Source organism: Homo sapiens, chromosome 2 (genome assembly GCF_000001405.40).
Source record: "Homo sapiens chromosome 2, GRCh38.p14 Primary Assembly".
Classification (NCBI taxonomy): domain Eukaryota; kingdom Metazoa; phylum Chordata; class Mammalia; order Primates; family Hominidae; genus Homo; species Homo sapiens.
In genome coordinates this window covers 18,445,935-18,463,205 of record NC_000002.12, presented here as the reverse complement: position 1 = coordinate 18,463,205, position 17,271 = coordinate 18,445,935, and the positions used below count along the sequence as shown (strand labels likewise).

Genomic DNA, 17,271 nt, shown 5'->3' with positions numbered 1-17,271 from the left:
TTCAGAAGGTAGGTAATAATGAACTCCTCCAACATAAAGGAGAATGTTCTAACCCAATGCAAGGAAGCTAACAACCTTGAAAAAAGGTTAGACAAATTGCTAACTAAAATAACCAGTTTAGAGAAGAACACAAATGACCTGATAAAGCTGAAAAACACATCATGAGAACTTCGTGAAGCATACACAAGTATCAATAGCCAAATCGACCAAGCGGAAGAAAGGATATCAGAGATTGAAGATCAACTTAATGAAATAAAGCGTGAAGGCAAGATTAGAGAAAAAAGAATGAAAAGGAATCAACAAAGCCTCCAAGAAATATGGGACTATACGGAAAGACCAAACCTATGTTTGATTGGTGTACCTGAAAGTGATGGGGAGAATGGAACCAAGTTGGAAAACACTTTTCAGGATATTATCCAGGAGGACTTCCCCAATGTAGCAAGACAGGCCAATATTCAAATTCAGAAAATACAGAAAACACCACAAAGATACTCCTCGAGAAGAGCAACCCCAAGACAGATAATCATCAGATTCACCAAGGTTGAAATGAAGGAGAAAATGTTAAGGGCAGCCAGAGAGAAAGGTTGGATTACCCACAAAGTGAATCCCATCAGACTAACAGCAGGTCTCTCTGCAGAAACCCTACAAGCCAGAAGAGAGTGGGGGCCAATATTCAACATTCTTAAAAAAAAGAATTTTCAACCCAGAATTTCATATCCAGCCAAACTAAGCATCATAAGTGAAGGAGAAATAAAACCCTTTACAGACAAGCAAATGCTGAGAGATTTTGTCACCACCAGGCCTGCCTTACAAGAGCTCCTGAAGAAAGCACTAAACATGGAAAGGAACAACTGGTACCAGCAACTGCAAAAACATACCAAATTGTAAAGACCATCATCCCTATGAAGAAAGTGCATCAACTAATGGGCAAAATAACCAAATAGCATCATAATGACAGGATCAAATTTATACATAACAATATTAACCTTAAATGTAAATGGGATAAATGCCCCAATTAAAAGACACAGACTGGCGAATTGGATAAAGATTCAAGACCCATTGGTGTGCTGTATTCAGCAGAACCATCTCACGTGCAAAAACACATATAGGCTCAAAATAAAGGGATGGAGGAATATTTACCAAGGAAATAGAAAGCAAAAAAATGCAGGGGTTGCATTCCTAATCTCTGATAAAACAGACTTTAAACCAACAAAGATCAAAAGAGACAAAGAAGGGCATTACATAATGGTAAAGAGATCAATGCAACAAGAAGAGCTAACTATCCTAAATATATATGCACCCAATACAGGAGAACCCAGATTCATAAAGCAAGTTCTCAGAGACCTACAAAGAGACTTAGACTCCAACACAATAATAGTGGGAGACTTTAACACCACACTGTCAATATTAGATCAATGAGACAGAAAATTAACAAGGATATTCAGGGCTTGAACTCAGCTCTGGACCAAACAAACCTCTTTAATTCTTTTTTCTACAGAACTCTCCACCCCAAATCAACAGAATATACATTCTTCTCAGCACCACATGGCACTTATTCTAAAATTGACCACATAATTGGAAGTAAAATGCTCCTCAGCAAAGGCAAAAGAAAAGAAATCATAACAAACAGTCTCTCAAATCACAGTGCAATCAAATTAGAACTTATGATTAAGAAACTCACTCAAAACCATACAACTACATGGAAATTGAACAAGCTGCTCCTGAATGACTACTGGGTAAATAACGAAATTAAGGCAGAAATATATAAGTTGTTTGAAACCAATGAGAACAGAGACACAATGTAACAGAATCTCTGGGACACAGCTAAAGCAGTGTTTAAAGGGAAATTTATATCACTAAATGCCCACAAGAGAAAGCAGGAAACATCCAAAATCGACACCCTAACATCACGATTAAAAGAACTGGAGAAGCAAGAGCAAACAGATTCAAAAGCTAGCAGAAGACAAGAAATAACTAAGATCAGAGCAGAACTGAAGGAGATAGAGATATGAAAAACCCTTCAAAAAAATCAATGAATCCAGGAGCTGGTTTTTTGAAAAGATCAACAAAATTGATAGACCACTAGCAAGACTAATAAAGAAGAAAAGAGAGAGGAATCAAATAGACACAATAAAAAAATGATAAAGGGAATATCACCACTGATTCCGCAGAAATACAAACTACCATCAGATAATACTATAAACACCTCTATGCAAATAAACTAGAATAGTAGAAGAAATGGATAAATTCCTGGACACATACGCCTTCCCAAGTCTAAACCAGGGAGAAGTCGAATCCCTGAATAGACCAGCAACAAGTTCTCAAATTGAGGCAGTAATTAATAGCCTACCAACCAAAAAAAATTCCAGGACCAGATGGATTCACAGCCGAATTCTACCAGAGGTACGAAGAGGAGCTGGTAGCATGCCTTCTGAAACTATTCCAAACAATAGAAAAAGAGAGAATCCTCCCTAACTCATTTTATGAGGCTAGCACCATCCTGATACCAAAACCTGGCAGAGACTCAACAAAAAAAGAAAATTTCAGGCCAATATCCCTGATGAACATTGATGCAAAAATCCTCAATAAAATACCGGCAAACTGAATCCAGCAGCACATTAAAAAGCTTATCCACCACTATCAAGTCAGCTTCATCCCTGGGATGCAAGGCTGGTTCAATATATGCAAATCAATCAATGTAATCCATCACATAAACAGAACCAATGACAAAAAACACATGATTTTCTCAATAGATGCAGAAAAGTCCTTCAACAAAATTCAACATCCCTTCATACTAAAAACTCTCAATAAACTAAGTATTGATGGAATGTATCTCAAAATAACAAGGGGTATTTATGACAAACCCACAGCCAATATCATACTAAATAGGCAAGAGCTGGAAGCATTCCCTTTGAAAACTGGCACAAAACAAGGATGCCCTCTCTCACCACTCCTATTCAATATAGTACTGGAATTTCTGCCCAGGGCAATCAGGCAGGAGAAAGAAATAAAGGGTATTCAATTAGGAAAAGAGGAAGTCAAATTGTCTCTGTTTGAAGATGACATCATTGTATATTTAGAAAACCCCATCGTCTTAGCCCAAAATCTCCTTAAGCTGATAAGCAACTTCAGCAAGGCCTCAGGATACAAAATCAATGTGAAAAAATCACAAGCATTCCTCTACCCCAGTAACAGACAAACAGAGAGTCAAATCATAAGTGAACTCCCATTCACAATTGCCACGAAGAGAATTAAATACCTAGGTATACAACTTACAAGGATTGTGAAGGACCTCCTCAAGGAGAATTACAAACCACTGCTCAAGGAAATAAGAGAGGACACAAACAAATGGAAGAATATTCCATGCTCATGCATAGGAAGAATCAATATCATGAAAATGGCCATACTGCCCAAAGTAATTTACAGTTTCAATGCTACCCTCATCAAGCTATCAATGACTTTCTTCACAGAATCAGAAAAAACTACTTTAAATTTCATATGGAACCAAACAAAGAGCCCGCATAGCCAAGACAATCCTAAGCAAAAAGAACAAAGCTGGAGGCATCATGCTACCTGACTTCAAACTATATTACAAGGCTACAGTAACAAAAACAGCATGGGGTACTTGTACAAAACAGATATATAGACCAATGGAACAGAACAGAGGCCTCAGAAATAATACCACACATCTACAACCATCTGATCTTTGACAAACCTGATAAAAACAAGCAATGGGGAAAGGATTCCCTATTTAACAAATGGTGTTGGGAAAACTGGCTAGCCATATGCAGAAAACTGAAACTGGACCCCTTCCTTACACCTTATACAAAAATTAACTCAAGGTGGATTAAAGACTGAGATGTAAGACCTAAAACCCTAGAAGAAAACCTAGGCAATACCATTCAGGACATAGGCATGGGCAAAGACTTCATGACTAAAACAAAAAGCAATGGCAACAAAACCCAAAATTGACAAATGGGATCTAATTAAACTAAAGAGCTTCTGCACAGCAAAAGAGACTATCAGAGTGAACAGGCAACCTACAGAATGGGAGCAAATTTTTGTAATCTATCCATCTGACAAAGGGCTAATATCCAGAATCTACAAAGAACTTGAGCAAAGTAACAAGAAAAAAACAAACAACCCCATCAAAAAGTGGGGGAAGGATATGAACAGACACTTCTCAAAAGAATACATTTATGCAGCCAACAAACATATGAAAAAAGCTCATCATCACTAGATTAGATTACAGAGTCATTAGAGAAATGCAAATCAAAACCACAATGAGATACCATCTCATGCCAGTTAGAAAGGTGATCATTAAAAAGTCAGGAAACAACAGATGCTGGAGAGGATGTGGAGAAATAGGAATACTTTTACATTGTTGGTGGGAGTAGAAATTAGTTCAACCATTGTGGAAGACAGTGTGGCAATTCCTCAAGGATCTAGAACCAGAAATGCCATTTGACCCAGCAATCCCATTAACGAGTATATACCCAAAGGATTATAAATCATTCTACTATAAAGACACATGCACACGTATGTTTATTGTGTCACTGTTCACAATAGCAAAGACTTGGAACCAACCCAAATGCTCATCAATGATAGACTGGATAAATAAAATGTGGCCCATATATACCATGGAGTACTATGCAGCCATAAAAAAGGATGAGTTCATGTCCTTTGCAGGGACATCGACGAAGCTGGAAACCATCATTCTCAGCAAACTAACACAAGAATAGAAAACCAAACACTACATGTTCTGATAAGTGGGAGTTGAACAATGAGAACACATGGACACAGGGAGGGGAACATCACACGCTAAGGCCTGTCATGGGTTGGGGGCTAGGGGAGGGATAGCATTAGGAGAAATACCTAATGTAGATGATGGGTTGATGGGTGCAGCAAACCACCATGGCACATGTATACCTATGTAACAAACCTGCACGTTATGCACATGTATCCCAGAACTTGAAGTAAAAGAAAAAAATTTAAAAATTTTATAAAAAATATGCTCTGAGAAGTGTATTTTTAAGAAGTGTATTCCTCTCATATTTTCCAATTTTAGATGAAACAAAAATTAAGAGGTATCTTACAATAACATGTGTTTTGGTCCAATGAATTATCAAAAGCTCAGCACACTTTAGTCAAGACCCTCCGTTTTCTTTGATTCAAAGCATATCCTTACTGAATGAATCATAAAAACAGGCTCATTAGTGTCTTTCTATCTAGTTATTTTTAATGCAAAGTGCTCTTAACATTGAGAACTAATACATATTTAATCTCTTACCAGTGGTAATTGTGAATCTAATTTTTAAATTTTTTTATTCAATGTGTTATTTAAAACAATTTCTTTCTAGATCAGTAAAGACATTGCTTTAGATAACTTTACATATGCAAACTTTTGCACAAGATTGTCTTTGATTATAATAAAATGCTCTGGAAACTTGCTACTCAAAAAATGGCTTAAAGACCAGGAGCATCAGCATCATTTGATGTCTTGTTAGAAATATAGAATCCCAGGCTTATCTCCAGAAATCAAAATCTGCATTTTAATAAGATCCCTGGATGACATATATGCACATGAAAATTCTACAACCACTTCTTTACAGCACCTTCTCTCCTGTGTCAAATACTACAAAACTGCAATGTAGAGATTCAAAAGAATGAAAGGAAACATAAAAGGTTTGAGATTTGGAATTGGGAAGAACTAGGTTCAAATCCTCGCTCAGTGGCTTTGAGTAAGTTACTGAGCCTCTTTGATATAAATTAACATTAACCAATTTCTGGAGCATACCAGGTGCTTAGTTAATGTTAGCTTTGTTTTTCCTCATTCTCACTTAAATCTAGGAACACTAATCCATTGGGCCTTGGATTATATGGTCTACACAATGTTTAGCAGTTAGTTAATAGTATTTATTATGAGCAGATAAACAAGGATTTGGTGTAACAAGCTACTAAGATTATAGGGTTAATTTGTCATTGCAGCGTAACTTAATCTGATATTGTTAGCACAAAATTGCTACCAAGAGTGAGGATCAGCCAAAAAAAAAAATAGTAAATTATGTAGCACTGGCTTACATGTCAGATGGTAGGCAGAGGCTCCTGAGGATAATATTCAAGGTGGAGGAAAATGGAGATTCACGGCATGCAGTGCAAAAATGTTTGGTAAAATAATTACCAATAGTGGTGTGGGAGGGAGATCAGAAATTTAATGAAGTTATGACTCTAGGAGATGGGGTGAGAAATGAGGATGTTAATAGTGTGCTGATAGTTGTGGCATTTAGCAAAGTATTTTAATAAAGAGATGAGCTCAGGAAATAATTGGCTGATTGAAATGAAAGAATAATGGGAAGAAAAGTCTGAGAAAGACCCTCAGCTCCCAAAGAGGGTATGCCACCCCATGCTTATATCAGAAGTAGCTGAGAAGGATAATAACGGGAAAACAAAGAACTAGCCAGAGGGCAGATCCATGGGCCTAAAAGAATAAATTAGGAAGCTGCTTCCAGAGAGCAAAATCAGGGCCTAATAAAGGAACAGTCTCCTTCCTCGGGTTAGGGGAACCCAGAGTATCTCCCAGATCTCAGAATTGTCCTTTCAGTTACTGATGAGTGGTCTCATTTTCCCTTCACCTGCATGGTGTATTTCTTATGATGATCTTATTTCATTATAGTATATGCCCCTGTTTCATTCTTGCATGTTTCCTTTTTAGGATATGAATCTTTGGAATGAGAGGAAAAAATTCCCAAACCTAATGCATGGGCTACCATTCATGCCCCCAATATCCTGGATGTTGACCTACTTGTGATGAATGGAGGAGACTTTGCATTTGCTATTGTGATTTCTATTGTGAACAATAGGTGTTTAATGTGTGGGGAAAAAAAGTGAGGCAATCATTCAATGACCAAAAGGGCAGATGTTGTTGACAATGCTAGTATTCACCATTTTTTTTTCCTTTCAAGTGCACAAGGAATTGCATTTATACTCTCACAACTGAGCAGGGCCATGGGACTGGTTCTGACCAAAGAAATATGAGCAGAAATAACAAGTGTCATTTCTTGGCTGAAACAGTGAAAAGCCCTTGTGAAACTATTTAATCTCTCTCCTTTGCTGCCACAAAGACCAGAGAAGGGAGCCTCGTTCTGCCCGGGTCCTTGAGCTGGTTAGAATCCATCTCTGACTTGTGTCGGACATGATGTGTAAGCAGATAAACATATTAATTCCTGAGACTTCTGGGATTAGTTTGTTACTACTGCACAATTTAATATGATTTTCATAAGCACAATGACCACTCCACAGAATCTTACAAAGTGTAATTACTCACCCAACTCAGGCTAAGCTATCAAAACTCCTAATAGATTATATTCTTTTCTTCTAGGTCCCTCCGCCTTTCAGATTTGCTTGTGGCACCACAGGCTACAGAGACTGCCACTGAGCATGAAGGATTGGCTTTACTTTCCCAGCTCTCTTCGATTTAACAAATCCAATCTGTTGTGCTAATTTTAAATCAAGAGATGCTGCAATATGAGTCATTAGGTTGTAATTGAGATATATCAACCAGGATTTGCCAAAACTGAGAAAACTGGGCCGACTGAAACATAATTCTTTGGCAGGAACAAAGTAAATACCACTCTAATCAGAGCGGACAACAAATACCACATATTTGCTCCCTGGCAATAGAGGTGACATGGATGGCAGGCAGGGGGCCTCAGAGTGCAGTGAGGTGGCCCTGTCAGCAAGGTGGGTGACTGGGGCACTTAGAATGAAGGAGTGATTTTGAAAATAAAGGAAAACAAACTCTGGGACAACTCCATCAGCCCATCAGTTGAGCAATCACTTAATGGGCATGTATTTATTACCTGTTATGTGTCAGCGTTAGCAATATCAGTGGACAGGGAAACATGATGTAAAGTTGTAAGGATGTTTTCAGACTGAATCACAGTCCATTTTCAACCAGAGGACAGAATTGTCTGCAAAGACCTCCTTGATTATTTATTCAAAGAATGGCAAATTTCTCTAGGGAAAAGAAATGAGATAGTTCCCTTCCAAGCTCACAGCTCACACAGCCCAAACGTTCTAAAGGCGACTTCAAGAACCTATTAGAGGAAAAAAGAACAAAAGAATGGGGTTCAATGCTTGCATTGTAAATATATTAGCAAAGGTCTGGACTTGCTTTACTCAGTAACCATCCAACTGGCAAAAGTCCGTGTGAAAGTGTGGTGACTTCAAGCTCTGCTTCCATGTCCAAGACCCAAAGTAAACTGAAAAGTAGAGGCTCGCTGCATCAACGTCAATGGACTAATATTATAACAGACGCAGGGCAGCTGTGATGCTGTTCCCTAGAGTTTTGTACCACATTGTGGCCCATCCCTTTTGAGACTGGGATACCATCCTAGGAAAACATCTTGCTTAGAGCAGTCCCAGGCTGGCTGAAGTCATTTCTACTTTTTCTTCTGCAGACTCTGAATATCCACCCACACATCAGCCCTTACTGAGCACCAGCTAAGGGCCCATCTCTGCTCCAGGTTGTAGAGAAGGACACCAACTTCTTGCTCCATGGGGCAAATGAGGAGAAGAGTTCTAAGTAGACATACAACCTTCAGGGACCATGGGAAAATAGAGTAGCGTAAGTGAGAAGTTTGCTAGTACAACTCATATTTCCGAAGCCACAGCCTGTTGATATCAGTTTCTTTGCTTTAATTTCATGTCTCCTCATTCTGGACGTGCTAGTATCTAAGTATGAATTGCCTTCCCCCCATTCTCTGTATTGAATCCTCACCTGTCATTCATTGTCCCACTCAATGCCACCTCTTCTATGACAGTTTCCTTCATTTTCCTAGTCAGAACTATCTGACCCTTTTCCTTCCCTCCTTCTGCTTTTTACTTGTTTTGTGTACCTCTAACTTCATTAGAATGTGAGCTTCTTTGGAGAGCACTCTCTGGGGTCCATGTTTCTATCACTGCTGTGTCTAAATGGTATTAATCAGAGCTCATTTGATGTGTTCAGTGCACTGTTGCCACCCTGGGCTGTCACCAGGAGATGCTCCCTACTGCCTGTGAAGTGGAGCCTCCCCTGACTGCACCTGGTACACAGGGCCCTTCATGCACGTGCTTTTCTAGGTCTGCATACTCTGCTTTATCTCTCTGCATATGCACACCTTCTTGTGGTGCCCTGCTGTCATTCATACCTGGTTATGATTTATGATGGTAAGTTGACCACCCAAAGATTTTAATTACATCCTTCCATAAACTTAAAAAAAATGCATAGGGTCCAGGGCTAAGTTTTATATGGCACCTGTTTACTCCTCCATTAGAAATCAAGGCAGTTCACTGTGACCATTTCAATGTAAAGTGCATGAGAGACTGAAGGATAAGTGATGAGTAGAGATAGAAACACAGGCAGCTGGATAATATGTATGAAGAAGCTAGTCCTCCTGGCCATGCCCTCCCCAAACCATCCTGTCTGCTGCCCTGGGCTGTCTCCTAGCAGGCAATCAGAGGAAAGTTTCCTCCAAGTCTCCTCTCCAATTATTCCTGCTTGGTATTCCTCCTTGGTGAGAATAACCCACAGATTATTCTCATATTTCCTACCTAGAAGATAGGCTGACACCAACCAAGTCACAATGTACTGTCAATTTACCCTGCCCTCCCCATGGGACTCCTGACATGCAGATCATGAGTAAATCAACTGTTTGTCAAACCAAGCAGTGGCCTGGCATGAAAGTCATCAATAGCAACAACATTCCCTGCTGACACCAACTCACCCAGGCCACGCCCGCAATAAGTGTTGAACAAACATGGAAAAGATATTGGTCTGATGGGGAGCCAAACTATTGGTTTGTCTGGAGAACCCATGCATCTTGATCTGGCCCTGGATCAAGGCTCCTTTGATTTAAAGGATCCAAAAGGCCACAAGTGGCCGACTGCTCCTCGATGCCCTGTTCTCTACCCCTCATACAGTTATTTCTCTTGCCTCTTCTCACTCCCTCTGACTGCCTCCAGACCCCTCCCCTTGCTGCCTTTCTCCCCTCTCTTCTTCTCCAGCTGGTGGATTCTGACTTGAAAGCACATGGTGGCTCCCAGTTTCAGAAGGGTTGCCATTCTCAGCCACCTTGACCTGTCATTAAGAAGCACAGGTAATCTGGTGAAACAACCTTGTAGTGAAACTAGTGATTTTTATATTCTTAGTTGTGGTCAACAAATTATTTACTGCATTTTTATAATGTTCCAGGCACTATTATGCCTTTTTGAAAACTATACCCTTATTTCTGGACCTGGGCTCTCTCACTTTGTTTCTACAGTTTCATTAAAAAAGTATTGATTGACTGCCTGTTTCATGCCTGGGTTTGTTATTGTTTCATATCACCCTACATTTCATTCCATGTCTAAGGTAAAATCAACCTCAGTTTACAGAACTAATTTATGGAATCAGTCTATTAGAAACAGATTCTATTACTGAAAATTATTTCAGGTGGAAGCAACAGAAACCTAATTCAACCAACTGAAGTTAAAAAAAATAATTAAAGGCAGGGGATATAGTGGGAGAATTCTGGAGTGGATTTTAGACTCAAAGGAAAAACTACTGGAATCTGGGAAGCTCAGTGAGCCCCTGGCCGGGACTCTGGACCCCAGCCATTGCTTCTCCTCTTCTCTGACCATTGGCTTCCTTGTCTCAGTCTCTTCTCTATGGTAAGAATTCTGGTTTCCAGCAGTTTTCAGTTCACACCCTGAGCCCACATTCAACAGGAAGGAGAGAACTGTGTCTTTAAATGTCAGTGTCCCATGCCCCACGGAAGGACTCTGATGGACTGGTTTCAGTCCCACGCCCACCTGAGCCACTTTGACCAGGAAGATGAGCACAGTAATTAGTCTGACCCGGTGCCCATGCCCACCCATATAGCAACAGAATGAGGTGGCAGGATGTATATGTGAGTCTCACCATTAGCTCATGTTTGCAGATGGAGAAGAGCAATAAGGTGGTTGGATCTCTAAGGGGATCCAGTAAGAATAAGAAGGGGGGAAATGTACGAGGTAGGCAAAAAATAACGTACATTCACTCTTTGTGTCAGTTCAGGTGCTCTGAGAAGCAGATACCAAAATGGAGCTTTGTGTGCATAAGATTTATTGGGGAAAACTCCTGTGAAGAAAAAAGGGAAAAGGAGCAGGAACAGGCAGGGGGAGTCTGCGGAGTGGGATGCAAATCTGATACCTGAAAAGGGAGAGTAGGGAGGAGGAGGAAGTGTGGTATAGGAAGAATTGAAGACTCCAGTGCAGTGCTGGAGTGCCAGCCAGACGACAGGGAGCCTGAGGGCACATTCTACTCATTAGAGAAGCCCTGTGTCGGGCAGGACTGCTGGGCTTGGCTCTTTAGCTCTGCTGTGCTCAGTCACTGGGAGCATCTCAGAAAGGATGTGGCCTTGGCAAGCATGCCACGGTGGGCATGGGGGTGCGGCAGCTTGGAGATATCAGCTTATCAATTCTTACCACAAATTTCCTCCTTAAGGAAGATCTGAGTGGCATGCTTCCATGGTTACCACACTGATCCCCAAAGAGGTCCAGGCATATGCTTAAGGCACATCACATGGTTAGGTCAGTGATGGAGCTGAGTCCTGAAGCCAGAATTTATAGTTTCTAGTCCCACAAACTTTCCACTGTGCCATACTTCCCCAAAGCAGATGCTCCTGTTTCCATGGGATCTTCTTTTTGTCTGGCCATGCTGCTTATATGCAGGAAAAAGAGCAAGTCTCATCCTAGGAAGGCTCACATTCTCAAGATACAGCCTGTTCAGGAGGCCAGAAGGGAAACTGGTCCAGCCAAAGCAGCAGGAACCATGAGAAGCCTCCCTTAGCTGGAAAGTGACATGTGAGCATGTTAAAAATATACCATTCTTTAGCTGGATGTCGCCATAAATCCTGAAATCTTGTCCAGCTAGAACAGACTATCCAGAGCCATAAAACAGTGACACAAACAACTCAATTCTGTTCTGTTTAAAAGTCCCTTAGGCATATTCTTCCTAAACACACAATCTTCCATCCAACTTGTCTCCACCTTGGAGTTAGATTTATAAACTTTAAATGACCAACTGGTTAGACAGCAGGAAATACATGAAGAATGACACAAGCACCTGTAGAGCTAAACATCCTGGTATTTGCCCCTTCACTGAACCAGGTGGGACTGTGTAGCAGTAGTCACACCCACCAGTGGGGCTGAGCCATAGCCCTGCCTCTGCCCACTAGCAGGAGCCAGCTGTCACATTGAGCATGGCAATGCACTGACAAGGAAAAACATCATTCTTTGTCATATGAGTTGGAATTCAAATTATAAGAAGAAATGCTACCATAGTGTCTGGCCAGTGTCCCTCATCTCTAAATATACCCGAGATCTGGAATTGTTCATGTACATAAATCATAGACTACTGAAGTAGCTCCTGATCCCTGAAATCACTTCAGTTCTCTGTTTTCCAACCATGGCCTTGTGGTGCTTTGAGCTAGTTTGTTGCCTGATGACCAAGGGTGAGGATGGGAAACGCTATCATGATAAAGAGAGTAAAAAGAAAGTGATGCTAGTACACACACAAACATATAGCTATAACACAAATATTACAGGGATATTCATCATTGATCCAGAAAACAATTATTTCCACATACCCAGATGTCCAGAAAATAGATGCTTTAAAAAACAAAAACGACGACAACAACAACAACAAAAAAAACAGGATGTCACTCTGTTGCCCAGGCTGGCCTGCTGTGGCACAATCACAGCTCACTGTAACCCTGGATCCTGGGCCCAAGTGATCCTCCTGCCTCAGCCTCCTGTGTAGCTGTACTACAGATGCATACCACCACATGTGGATGGTTTTTCTTACTTTTATTTTTTATTTGTAGAGATTGGCTCTACAAATGCTGCCCAGGCTTATCTTGAACTCCTGGTCTCAAGTGACCCTCCCTCTTTGCCTCCCAAAGTCCTGGGATTATAGGCGTGAACCACCATGCCTGGCCCTCTTGCATTACGTTGATTCCAAGTTAATGGTCAAATTAGAAATTTCCATTTAAAGGGGACCTTTAGGAACAGAACACCTTAGAGTACTCAGTGATAGCTGGCTGGCAGGCAAAGAAGGTGGAAGACAAGGTGAACTCAAACTCATACACAAGAGTTTAAGAAGCACTCAGATCTATTTATATAGAACAATAAACTTATTAAATTTATCTACAATAAATAGAATTTATTGTAGAACAAAGAGTCCTGAGCATTGTAATACTCCTTGGCACTTCTTATAGTGATGAAATGAATACTCTGAAATACCTACTATGAGAACCACTACTTCTAGTGATAATTACAATAGCTAAAGTGGGCAGAGTGCCTTCTATGTGACAAGTATCATTCTCTGAACATTCCATGTGCTACCTCATTTAATCCTCACAATTCTAAGGGTCAGGCATTATCATCCCCATTTTACCAATGGGGTAAGTGAGGCACAGATGGCTTAACTAATTTTCCAAGGCTACAGGATTACTGAAAGACTCTATTATATTCAACTAATCTTACTTCAGTTACAAATTAATTGTGCCAGTTATTTTAGATATTTGTCAGACCAAGATATTTTGAAATCATTCCTAACCTAACAGGCTGTAGTTCACTTTAACAAACATTTACTGAGTACATGCTTTGTGTCAATCATTGAGCCTGGTACCAGGGATCCAGAGACATGTAAGACTCAATTCTACTCTTCTTGTAGCTCATGATCTTGTGAGTGTCTCACGTGAGAAATCTGATTTGCTGACAATGCCAAGTTTTTCTGCCTAAGAGTGTGTGTGCGTGTGTGTGTGCACTAAAACTAACTCTTAGGTTAACTATTTTTTCTAAGGAAGGACACACAGGGTAAACAATTGTACTTGTTTGCATTTTTGTGTCTGTATAAGTTAATCCCACTTCATTTTATATAGCACTGTTTATTTTCTATAGCATTCAAATAAAATTTAAGAAAAAAAAAAGACGTTCAAGGAAGAAATGGGATAGCAAGCAACTTGAAGGGGGTCTCCAGTCCCACCACTGAGCAGACAGTGAGAAAGAGAAAGCCTGACACTGGCAAGACTGGAGTGTATGTGGCCTGGCCTGGAGCCTGGGTCCTAGCAGTTTATTCCTTTGGTAGGGACTTCTGCCATAGAGTAAACATCACGGAAAAAAGTAGAAGAGGCCATTTGAGCTAGAAGAAGAGGAAGAGTGAATTGTTTCCGCATTTCAGTACACATGCCTGGCAGATAAAAGCCACATCCCATGCACAGCCTGCAGCATGGGCAAGAAGAGCTTTTCATCTCAGCACAATGCTATTTCAAGGGCTAGAGCAAAGGTTTCTATCATGAGCCCATACTTCTGCCCAAGGGATCCATGAATAAAACTCAGTAGGTTCTTGGACTTGGGAGAGAAACAATACCTTTATTTTCTATAGTTTTAACTAAAATTTAGCATTTTCTCTCCTTATAAATGTAGACAATAAACCATGGGAGTATTAGCAGAACTTGTGACTTCTCACCAATAGGAGATATTACCCTATTGCATTACAATTGTTGCAGATATTTCAAAATATTTTAGCTTTATTGAGATATAATTGATATACAAAAATTGCACATGTCTTATGTATATATTTTGATGAGTTTAGGCATATTTTTACACCTGTGATGCCATAACCACAATCCAGGTATTAAACATATCCATCATTTCCAAAAATTTCCTTGTGTTGTTTTTGGTTTGTGGTGAGAATACAACATGGGATCTATCCTCCAATCCCACTTGTAGGTATATACCCGAAAGCGTTAGAATCAGGATCTCAAAGATACCTTTGCACTCCCATGTTCATTGCAGCATTATTCACACTAGTCAAGATAAGAAAACAACCAAACTACCCATAGAAAGATGAATGAACAAAGAAAATGTGGTATATAAACAAAATTTAATATTCTCCAGCTTAAAAAAATAAGAAAATCCTACTACTTGGGACACACATATGAACCCAGAGGACATTATGTGACATGAAATAAGCCAGTCACAGAAGGATAAATATTGCATGACTCCAGTTATATGAGATACCTAAAACTGTCAAACTCTTTGCAAAATCTCTAAACTGCTTTCCACAGTGGCTGAACTAATTTGTATTACCGCAAACCATATATAAGCATTCCCTTTTCTCTACAGCCTTGCCTGCATCTATTATTTTCGGACATTTTAATAATAGCTATTCTGACTTGTGTGAGATAGTATCTCACTGTGGTTTTGATTTGCATTTCTCTAATGATTAGTAATGTTAAGCATTTTTTCGTATTGATAGTCATGCATATGTCTTCTTTTTAGAATTGTCCATGTCCTTTGCCCATTTTTTAATGGGGCTGTTTGATTTTTTGCTTGTTGATTTGTTTAAGTTCCTGATAGATTCCGGATATTAGACTCTTGTCGGGTGCATAGCTTGCAAATATTTTCTCTTATCCTATAGGTTGTCTGTTTACTCTGTTGATAGTTTCTTTTGCTCTGCAGAAGCTCTTCATTTGATTTGGTCCCACTTGTCTATTTTGTTTTTGTTGCAATTGCGTTTGGAGACTTCCTCATGAAATCTGTGCCAAGGCCTATATCTGGAATGGTATGTCCTAGGTCTTTTAGGATTTTTAGAGTTTTAGGTCTTACATCTAAGTCTTTAATCTATCTTGAGTGGATTTTTGTGTATGGTGAAAGGTAGGGGTCTAGTTTCATTCTTCTGTCTGTGGCCAACCAGTTATCCCAACACCATTTATTGAATAGAGAGTTCTTTTCTCTTGCTTGTTATTATTGACTTTGTCACAGATCAGATGGCTGTAGGTGTGCAACTTTATATCTGGGTTCTCTAACTTGTTCTATTGGTCTATATGTCTGTTTTTGTACCAGTGTCATGCCATTTTGCTTACTGTAGCCTTGTAGTATAACTTGAAATCCAGTAGTGGAGATTTCTCAAAGAACTTAAAACAGAACTACCACTTGACCCAGCAATTCCATTACTGAGTATATATCCAAAGGAATATAAATAGTTCTACCAAAAAAAAAAACACATGCATGTGTATGTTTATCACAACACTACTCACAGTAGCAAAGACACAGAATTAACCTAGGTGTTAATCATCAACAGTGGAGTGGATGAAGAAAATGTGGTACATATACATTATGGAATAACATGCAGCCATAAAAAGAAATGAAATCATGTCCTTTGCAGCAACATGGACAGCAACTAAATAAGAAGCTCCCAGCATGTTTCTTAGGCATGCTAATGTAGAGTGACAAGGGAGATTAGATAACATCTTTATTGGGGAATAATATTACTAAAGAGAATGAGGAGAAAGAGCCAAAGCAAGAAACTTGCAAAGAGAATAGATAAAGAAATAGAAGGTTACAAGAATTAAGGAAGACGTTCCAAGAAGGGGGTAGTTGTCAAAGGCATTGAATGCCTCAGAGAGCGCAAATAAGATAATAAAGACAATCTGCACAGCTCTGAGACTTCAGGAAGCTGATCATTCCAGGCTGAGATGTGTATTTTGTCCTTTTTCAAAGAGGCCTGCTATGATCAAAGCTTTAGATCAATAATTATGTAGTAACATGGACATATTTTGAGTTTGAAAGGCTGCGCATATGGTGACCATTGACCAAGATGTCAGGAAGGAGGAGATACAGGCTTTGGGTGAAATGATAGAGCTGGTTTGGAATCCATTGTGTTTAAGGTATCTTTGAGATAATCAGGCATGGCTTTACAGAAATAATTAGTGCCCAGAAAGGAGGTTGAGTCTACAGTGTACAAATGAGGTTTCATCCTCCTGCATGTGGTATTGGGCTTCAAAGATGAATGAGATTGTCCAGAGAGAATGTGTGACTGGTGAAGAAATAGGAACCATTTGTGTGATTCAGACAAGAAATGTTTTTCATATGATCAGAGAAAAGGTCCAGGCTGATGGCCAGACAAAGGGACACAATGCAACAGTCACTGAGCTGGGCTGGAACTGTTGAAATCTCTGTTTGGGGTGTCTGTGGGTTTTGCACAACTCCTGCCTGCTTTGCCTGCCCTTAGTTACTTCACAGGATCCACTGGAGAGAGCTATGGGAAAAGTTGGCTTGGGTGTTACTCCCCCAGCCCCTCCCACTGATGGTTAGTTATTTCCCCCTTTGATTTCATTTCTTGGTAAAAGCCATCAGTTACACTTCAGGCAATCCCTGTAGTGTTATTTTGCTTCTTTTCTTGGCTCTTTTATCTCCAGATAAGAG

General features: G+C 39.9%; 1 long non-coding RNA gene across 1 annotated transcript in view, besides 2 other annotated features; it reads right to left on the bottom strand.

Moving 5' to 3' along the window:
• LOC105373454 (uncharacterized) overlaps positions 1-17,271 on the bottom strand; it is a 148,852-nt gene that overhangs the window by 72,187 nt on the left and 59,394 nt on the right. The gene's annotated exons all lie outside the window — the stretch shown is intronic.
• Positions 6,524-7,100: an enhancer, noted in NCBI's record as "OCT4-NANOG hESC enhancer chr2:18637372-18637948 (GRCh37/hg19 assembly coordinates)". NCBI's record gives its function as "activates a minimal SCP1, AML or CMV promoter by ChIP-STARR-seq in primed H9 embryonic stem cells {active_cell/tissue: H9 hESC(primed)}" and the evidence as "EXISTENCE:reporter gene assay evidence [ECO:0000049][PMID:30033119]".
• Positions 10,750-11,014: a silencer, noted in NCBI's record as "fragment chr2:18633458-18633722 (GRCh37/hg19 assembly coordinates)". NCBI's record gives its function as "represses an EF-1alpha promoter that drives an FKBP-Casp9 reporter gene in an ReSE screen in HepG2 liver carcinoma cells {active_cell/tissue: HepG2}" and the evidence as "EXISTENCE:reporter gene assay evidence [ECO:0000049][PMID:32094911]".